Source organism: Homo sapiens, chromosome 12 (genome assembly GCF_000001405.40).
Source record: "Homo sapiens chromosome 12, GRCh38.p14 Primary Assembly".
NCBI lineage: Eukaryota > Metazoa > Chordata > Mammalia > Primates > Hominidae > Homo > Homo sapiens.
This window is the reverse complement of record NC_000012.12, coordinates 68,012,089-68,021,313: the sequence shown is the minus strand read 5'-3', so window position 1 is coordinate 68,021,313 and position 9,225 is coordinate 68,012,089. Positions and strand designations below refer to the sequence as shown.

At 40.6% G+C, this 9,225-nt stretch overlaps 1 long non-coding RNA gene across 7 annotated transcripts in view; it reads right to left on the bottom strand.

The window, feature by feature from the left end:
• The window catches only part of IFNG-AS1 (IFNG regulatory antisense RNA 1), a 31,867-nt gene continuing 22,642 nt past the window's right edge, over nt 1-9,225 (bottom strand). For 5 of the 7 annotated variants that reach the window (NR_186228.2, NR_104125.3, NR_186229.2 and 2 more), the window contains one exon: nt 1-1,452. This is a non-coding gene — a long non-coding RNA (IFNG regulatory antisense RNA 1). Of the gene's footprint in view, nt 1,453-3,122; nt 3,250-7,665; nt 7,784-9,225 lie in introns of all 7 variants that reach the window. The other 2 variants (NR_104124.3, NR_186227.2) reach the window with 2 other exon arrangements.

The following is a 9,225-nucleotide window of genomic DNA, read 5'->3' as shown; positions in this document are numbered from 1 at the left end:
TATTATTACTGTTGTTGTTTTATTGCTGTTGATCTTTATATACCATATAAGGCATGATGAAAAATTACAGAAATATAGACAAATATTCCCATTTTTTAAATGCTTGTAGTTAAATTGGGAAAACAAACTATGTATATATAAAATATTTAGGGAGTAGTTAAAAGACCATATTTGAGAAAAACAAATACTTAGACTAATAACTCACATGATTGCTGAGGATGATCAGTATGGGGAAAGATGATCAATAAAGGGATGTGCCACTTAGGAGGAGAATTTTGGGAGAGACACCGAAGAAATGGTATGTGGCGGGAAAATTGCCAGTGTGCACAACTGCATTCAATTACCCAGCTTCCTGCTCCCCCATGCTCGAACGTGTATATGGGGAAGTGGTATATGCTTTTCTATTACTCAGACTTGGTTCTTTGAAACACTCCCACCCTACCTTTTAGAGGATGTGTGTCAAAAGTGCAGTTACTTGTCCCTTTAACATAATACCAGTTAACTCATACTGGGTTGCTGTTTTTGTTGTCACTTCAATGGGTGAGTTTTCCACAACACTATCAACTTCTTTTTAAGGGAATATAAGAGTTGATTCAACGAAAACTCTGTTGGCTCTTCTTGGTGAAGAGCAAAGGAATTTCTTAAGCTTTGAACACTCTGCCCAGATTCCCTTCTCTGGTGGAAGTATGTGCATAAGTCTACGATTGCATTTCTTTGCATGTCTGAAATTTTATGTGGCAGTTTTGCCAACAACTCCAAATTCTTAGCTTAATCCACCTTAGAGGTTGTAAACATTTATTTCCACTTTTAGTCCAGCGACAAAGAACTTTTGGCCCTCTCTCTCAAGATTTTAATGTGTTGGTGTGTTTGCGTGTATGTTTTAATATTTTGGTGTACAAGAAACCCAAATGGTTTCCTGTACTGTCGATGTCAAACTGATACCTGTGTTCTCCATTTTAATCCACACTGAACACTATACAAATTGTCTTACTAAAGCACAGGCCTGATTATACACTTTCCTTTCAAATACTCTTGATGGCTGCCTACGGCATGTGACATGTGACATTCAACATGTCACATGTCATGATTCGTGTGTCATGCTTCATATGTCATGATTCAAGACATGATTTATCATGTTTTGATTCTGCATGCTGCAGGCAACATGTGACATGTGACCTTCAGGGCCCTTCACAGCCTTTTCCTAGTCCGGCTTTCCAGGCATCCTTTACCCTTTTCTAATCTTTTGTGAGTTCTTAGGCCTCGGTTGCTTTGATTACACAAACACCTCTCAGTAGAATGACTTTTCCTCTTTTCTTTTGGTCCATTTTCTGAAGACCCTTCAAAGACTTTCCCAACTGGCCCCTCCAGGTCTAAATAATTGTTCTCCTTCTGGGCTCTCATAGCTTTTGACTTACCCTCCAGCTGGTTGTTAGCAGTTGGTGGGCTTCTAGCCTGTAACAAAAGACATAGTTAATTTAGAAATATTGAGATAGTGGGCATCACAGACTATGACTGCCTTCTGGATCAGTGGAAGGTTCTAAACAGTAAATTTCAAAACCCCAATTTGTTCAGTCCACCCACACATTTGCTGTTCTTGGGCACTCTAGACATCTCAGAATTTTATTAGAGTTTACTTAGAAATCTGATAGGACATTGTGAGTGTACAAGTTGACATTAGAGGCACCTACTCTAGTGTGGGTGCCCCTCTGGTGTCTAGGGTTCAATGTACACTATCTCCTTCAGGCCTCACCAAGGTTGGCCTCATCATATGCACTTTACAGGGAAGGAAACTCAGATTCTGAAAGCCAGACGCTGTGCTCCAGAGGTACGTGGGAGTCAGGGAAGCACAGTGTATATTAGCATGGATATCTGCAGCCCAGCTGCCTGGGTTTGAATTCTGGCTCGGCTCTTTAGTAACTTGTATCCATTACAAAACCTTTCTGTGCCTCAGATTCCTTCACTATAAAATATGGTGGTGGTATCTTCAATAAGTTGATACATGCGAGGCACTTAGAACAGAGCCTGGCATGTAGTAAGCACATGTAAGTGCTAGTGATTATCATCATTGTCATCATTATTAACTTTAATGAGCACGGAACTAAAGAGTAAATGAGTCAGGATTTAGACCCAGATCTGCTTGGCTGTAAAGGTTTCTATTTTTACATGTCAGACTACCTCCTGTTGTGTCCATTTGCCTCGAAATTAAAGAATAGAGTGAAGAGTCCTCTTTAACTTTTCCCTCAGAGACCCAAACGCTTAATCAAATTATTTTAGTTTAAAATGTATGATGAGTACCTCCTGCACACTTTATGGAGGTTGAAGGCTCCACAAGAATTAGTATGAGAGAGTTCAAATTCTGCTTCCACTCAAAGGCGTGGTAAAAACCACGGATCCTCTTAAAAAAGTTGCTCTGGGATAGGTCACTGTGCTTGTAACATTACTGGGGTTTGCCTAATGGTGTTTGGACCTTCCGCACAAAGTCAGGTGGTTAGAAAGGACTTAGAACTTAAAGTATAATAAAAAAAAATATATATATAAAAACAAAACAAAACAAAATAAAAAAAAAGTAAGGACTCAAACAAGCCTGAGCATGCCTGTTAATACAGCACATACAGCCACTCTCTCTACCTTCCTTCCTGCATTGAGGGGTGAAGGAAGGTTTTGTAAAGTTGTAGGAGTATTTCTTCCTCCCCACCCCACCTTCCTCCTTCCTCTGTTCCTCAGAAAGGCATGGGCCCCACATTGCTCAGGAAGAGCAAAGCAGAGGTGAGAGACAGATAAGAAAGGTGTTATGCCTGGCATGACTGGTTTAGGCTTAAGTTTGGGCCTAAATAGCCATGTAGGGTGAATGTTTTCTATACATTGGCTGTAGCTTGCTATGACTGCATTCACAGGCTACTTTAATTAAGCAAGAGGCTTAGATTGTGAGATGAGTTCCCTGAGAGTATTATGCTTTTAATTTAGTTAAATTCAATTAAATCCATCAAATTCATTCTGTGCCTCAAGCTACAACAACAGACTAGGTTCTGTGGATATAAATTTGTATAAGACAAGATCAGCAACCTCCAAAAGTTCTAAGTCTTGTTCAGAAGACCAAAAATAAATAAATAAATAACTCTAACCCATGTGGTAAATTCTATGGTGGAAGAATCCATACAGAACAGTGAGCCCATGCAAGCAGGAGAAATGGTCCAGATGACTGGCTTGGATGGGTGGTGGTTTGAGGTACCAGTCAGAGGAAAGCTATCTCTGAATAACAAATAGAAAATTTTCACAAGGGGAGATGAACACATCAAGCAAAAGGCAGGGAATGAGCTAAAGCTTACAGATGTGAAAACACCTGGCTTATTCAAGTGAATAATCTAAAAATAGTAGCTGGGAAGTACTCCAAATGTTTTATAAGATTAATATCTTACAATACCCATATGAACCAGTTATTTCCATTTTATAGATGATTAAACTAACTTTCCCAGTGATATGGCCAGTTCATGACTAGGTTTGAACAAGACAAGCTACCTCCAAAGAAAGATATAATGACTAGCCATTAAATGTAACCATTATTCTCTATGCCACCTCTCTAGATTGAGCCTTCTTAAATAGGGTCAGCCATCAGAGTCATTTGGAAGATTTTAGAAATGTAAAGATTATATTATATTCCCCAGAGAGGGATTTAGTGCCTCCCCTTGGTAAATGGCTCCACCAAAAATGGTAAATGGCTCATTGTTCAAAACAGCCCTGAGAGTAATTCCTGGCACCTCTTCCTTCTTTATCTTCCACATCCAGTTTATCTCCAAATTTTCTCAATTCTCCACCAAAAATTCATCCCCAATCCTTTCACTTGTTCCCATCTCAGCTTCCAGTACTCAAATCCAAGCCTCTGCAAACCCAATGATCTTTCAGCTTCCCTTCTAATCCCCTTCTAATTTTTCTCCAAATCACTGCTACAGTGATGGGATCATACTCCAGCCCAAAGTCTTCCCATGGCCTCCAGTTGCCCTTGGAATTCAACCCAAACCTTCACCATGGTTTACGAGGCTCTGCACGGTTAAGCCCATGCTTATTTACAGGTTTATTTCATACCACCGTTCCTCTTGTCCTGCCATATGGATGTTCTTTTGCTTCCTCCAATGTGACAAGCTCTTTTCCACCTCAGGGGTCTTCCTACCTGCTGCTGTTCCTTCTGTGTGAAAGACTGTTTCCATACTTGGCTCTTTCTCAGGTCTCAGACCTTCCCTGATCCTCTATGACAAAAGGTCCCTTCTGTCATTCGCTTGTAGGGCACTCTGTTCTTTTCTTTCATATCAAAACTTGTTACACTTATATGTGGTTACTTATAGAGATCCATGTCCCCAACACAAGCTTGAAAGTTCCATGAGGATAGGGATTATGCCTGCTGCATTCACCATGGCATTCCTTATGCCTAGCCCAGGGCATGGCCCAGGGCAGAGCCACAATACATTTCTGATGAACAAGTGATAGACAGAGTGGATAGAAAACTACATGAGAACAGAAAAGAAGCGATTGGATTTAGCAAGGAGGTCATATTTGCTCAGCTGATTTCACTTAAATGGTGGAATCATTTAAGTGATTCCACTTAAAAGCAAATACAGTGAATTGTGAAGTTGAATGAGAAAGCAAAGAGGAAATTAAGTTATTCTCATGTGAAGGAAATGATCATACTTACTAAGTGCCAGACTCTGAACCTGGCACCTGACATTCATTATTTCATCACTGCAGCAACCATATGAAGGATGTTCTGTAATCTCCATGTTTGGAATGAAGTAAAGAGTCTCAGAGAAGTTGAGTAATGTGCCCAATGTCACACACCTCGAACATAGCGACACCAGGACCAGGCCCAACTTCAGAGTCCATTCTCCTAACCACTGAGTCAATGGCTCTTGAGTGTACAGGGGAATCATGGTGGTGGGTGACTTATTAAAACCACTACCATCAAGCAATTGTAATTAAATAGGTCTGGGTGAGGGCCTGGGAATCATTGGTTTTAACAAGTGACTGGTTTTGAGTGATTCTGAGGCAGGGAGCCTAGGAGTTCCACTATGTGGAGCATGACTCCACGGTATGCATCGCAAGAGAGGAGATCTGAGGTCACCTGTAACTTCTGATCTAAGCCTTGGAGCCTCCATGACTCCATTTTGTCTATATAATTGATAAAAATGTTTTCTCACAAGTTTATGATGACTAAATGCATAATTTATAGAGTTAATCTACAGTAGGTACATAATAAATGTTGGTTTCTTTCCCCTCTCCTAGACTTCTCTTTCAAGAACTTTTACTAGATTAGGAATGAGAGAGATAGACAATAATTTGAAGTTGTGTCAATTTCTGGGAAAGGTTTTTTTTCCCCCCCCCGTCTCTAGTTTTCAGATAGGAAAATGGAGGCACTAAACCGTGAAGTAACTTGGCCTCAGGTTACAGCTAGTAAGTGGCAACCCTCTTAACCTCCACGCTATACTGGTGGGTAAGTTACATTTGGAAAGATATCTGTAGTCAACACTTGTTGAATTGAATTTCAAACTTGGCTGATCTTTCTATTGCTTTGTTCTTATGACCTTTCCTTCCCCCTTTATTTGTTGACTTTGGTCTTTGACTCCTCTTTACTATATGTCCTTTTATTTTTACTATAAACATCAAGTCTTTTAGGAGACTATATAGTACTAAAATCAAATAAATGTAGTCAATATGTGAGGTAGTGGGTAGATCATAAGAACGGTTAAGGAAAAATTGCACTGTTTGGGATGCTTGGAAATGGGAAATCTCTAGTAGAAGCTTCAAGAACTTTAGAGGCTTCAAAGTAGCACATATGAGGAGATGAGAAGGTGAAGCCTCTGCCAGAGGGGTGGGATTGCTTGCTCCTGACACCTTACCTCACCTCAGGTGAAAAGATCAGCAAGTGTCCTGGGATCTTGTCTCGGCCCTTCCCTTCCAAACCTTACGTGGACTCTACCCTTTAGGGGTGGCTTGTTTGCAGCTTTCCTCTGGCTATGTCTTTATTATGGAGAAGCATGTGACCCCACATCCCTCCTTCTGTGGCCTTACTTTTAGAATGTGAACACATAATCCAGCCCCGAGTTGAAGCCCCTGCCTGCATTGTCAGCTAAAAGCTTTGTGTCCATCTGGCTTGCTTTAGATAAGACCTCAGTATGAGGTCTTACGGTGTTTTTGATTGGTGTTTTGAGCTCTTCCTTCTTCTCCAGGTGCTTTTTCTCTGCCCTGGGCCATGCCCTGGGCTAGGAAAATGCTTTTCTCAAAAATTGTGTTTGTTCTGACATGTTTTATATTTGATCTTGGTGCCTGGGTTTTTTAGTTGCCCTTTATCTCAAAATCTGTTTGTATAGTACATTAGAAATGTGCATTGCTCTTTTCACCAAGAATTACAATTAATCTGACCATCTGAAAATAGACGCCATTCTATTTTCCAAATTTACATTAACTTAATGTATTAGGGTTCTCCAAAGAAATAGAACCAATAGGGTGTCTGTGTGTGTGTGTGTGTGTGTCTGTGTGTGTGTAAGACATTTCTTTTAAGGAACTGGTGTATGTGATTGTGGAGGCTTGGCCAGTTCAAAATCTGATGGAGAAGGTTGGCAGACTGAAGACTCAGGAAAGAGACGCAGTTCAAGTCCAAAAGCAGTCTGCTGGCAAACCAGGAAGAGCTAATGTTGTAAATGAAGTTCAAAAGCTGTCTGCTCAATTCTCAAAAGAAGATATACAAATGGCCAACAAACATATGAAAAAATGCTCAACATCACTAATGATCAGGGAAATGCAATATCAAAACCACAATATGATACCATCTTACCCCTGCAAGAATAGCCATAATAATAAAAAACAAAACAAAACCAGTAGATGTTGGCATGGATGCAGTGATCAGGGAACACTTCCACACTGCTGGTGGGAATGTAAACTTGTACAGCCACTGTGGAAAACAGTGTGGAGGTTCCTTGAAGAACTAAAAGTAAAACTACCATTTGATCCAGCAATCCCACTAGTGGGTATCTACCCAGAGGACAAGATGTCATTATGCAAAAACATACTTGCACACACGTTTATAGCAGCACAACTTGCAATTGCAAAAATCATGGAACCAACCCAAATGCCCATCCATTAACAAATGGATAAAGAAACTGTGGTATACATTATGATGGAAAACTACTTAGCCATAAAAAGGAATGAATTAATGACATTCTCAGAGACCTGGATGAGACTGGAGACTATTATTCTAAGTGAGGTAACTGAGGAATGGAATACTAAACATCATATGTTCTCCCTGATATGTGGGAGCTAAGCTATGAGGGTGCAAAGGCATAAGAATGATACAATGGACTTTGGGGACTTGAGAGGAAGAGTGGGAGGGGAGCGAGGGGTAAAAGACTACAAATAGGGTGCAGTGTACACTGCTCGGGTGATGGGTGCACCAAAATCTCACAAATCACCACTAAATAACTTACTCATGTAACCAAACACCACCTGTACCCCAATATCCTATGGGAAAAAGAAAGCCATGTGCTGGCAGAATTCCTTCTTACTTGGGGACAGTCAACCTTTGGTTCTGATCAAGGCATCAACCGATTGAATGAGGCCTACCTATGAAATGGAGGGCTATCTACTTTACTCAAAGTCCACCAATTTAAATGCAAATCTTACCCAAAAACTCCTTTACAGAAACATCCAGAATAATGTTTGACCAAATATCTGTCATCATGGTCCAGCCAAGGGAACACATACAATTAACCATCCCACTTAGTGTTTTTCACATTGGACCCTGTAGAAGGTATTAATAGATCAGTAGGTGAAATTAAAGGGGAGGAATTCAAAGATTAAATATATTTGTGACATGTAACCTACTGTACCTCCCTCTTGGAGTGCCATATTGCACATTCATCTGTTAAAGACTTTGAGAATTTCTGAGGTCAAGACAACTGCTTGGCTTTGTGTAACTGCTGCCAGAGGAAGGCAGGGCAGCTTGTATTACGTGGTCCTTCACCTTGCAGCCCCAACCTCCACCAATGCATTGAGAGGAAGTGGGGCTAGGGTTGTTTCCCTATAAATCCCAAATCCTAAACCCTGACTTTCAGATCTAAATTGCACAGAAATGTTTGCCTAAGTGCTAAAAATATGTGCTGCAAACTAATTCAATAAAATTGGATAATGATATATTCAGTGGTTCACGGGTTTTTGAATCAATCCCAGGCAAAATGGTTAAAGCTTCTGTATTGCAGTGAGCTAAGATGCCCTGGACAAGGCTTGGTCTTTCCAGCTCTATCACTTTGCTCTCTTGATAGTTCTTTCCCCTTTTGTCTTCATTTATCAGCTTCATGCTATTTAACCTCTCTCTTTTGCCACTTCATGCTTCCTCTCTATCCCCAAGGGAGCTCTAAACAAAAGCAAAAGGAAGTATACCACAGAAAGAGCAAAGCTGTTGTTGTTTTTATAGAATGCATGCTGTTCTCTTTCTGCACTTGATAGCAAAGGCCTCCTCATCCTGAACTCTATGCATCGCTAGTCGTCTTTCCTTAATTAAAATGCCCACAGGCTGGAACTATGGTATGCCTGTGAGGTGATGATAATAGATATACAGTGATGGTAATAGATATAATTAGTGATATATAAACTTAAGCTTGTTGAATTGAATTGAGTTCATACAAGTCAAACCAACTGAGGGAATCCAGATTCTTCACCCCCTCAAACCACTGGCCCAGATTGTGTCTGTGGCTTTGACATGAATTCTTATGAAAAGTGTTTGGGAGAAGGAAGCTGGTTGCACGTGCTCCTCTCATTCCTTTACTCTCCTTTCCTCTCCTCATTTTAGGGAGAAGTGAAGGCAGCATTCCCCTGGTTGAGCATAGTGTATTCCTGCCTTCTTTGTTGAGGCTAACACAGCTGCATGACCTTGTTTCCTTTCCTGACCAGTGGCTGTCATGGACCAAACTCAGAGTAACTCCCCTGAATGCAAATGGGATAGAAGAGAGCCTCATATGGGGCAAAGCATGAAGGTGGAACATTTGCAAACTCATCTCTCCAGTCCTGGCCGGTGGCAGATAAAAGCTTTCCCTAGTACTTAAAAAAATTTAGATCCTTAAAGCAACTTGGCATGAAGAGTAAAACCAATTAAAAGGAAAGAAAAAACAAAACAACCTGTAAACCGCAATCTAGTAACTAGGGCTAAGGGAGGCAGGAAAGAAACATCAGAGTAGGATGTGCTAC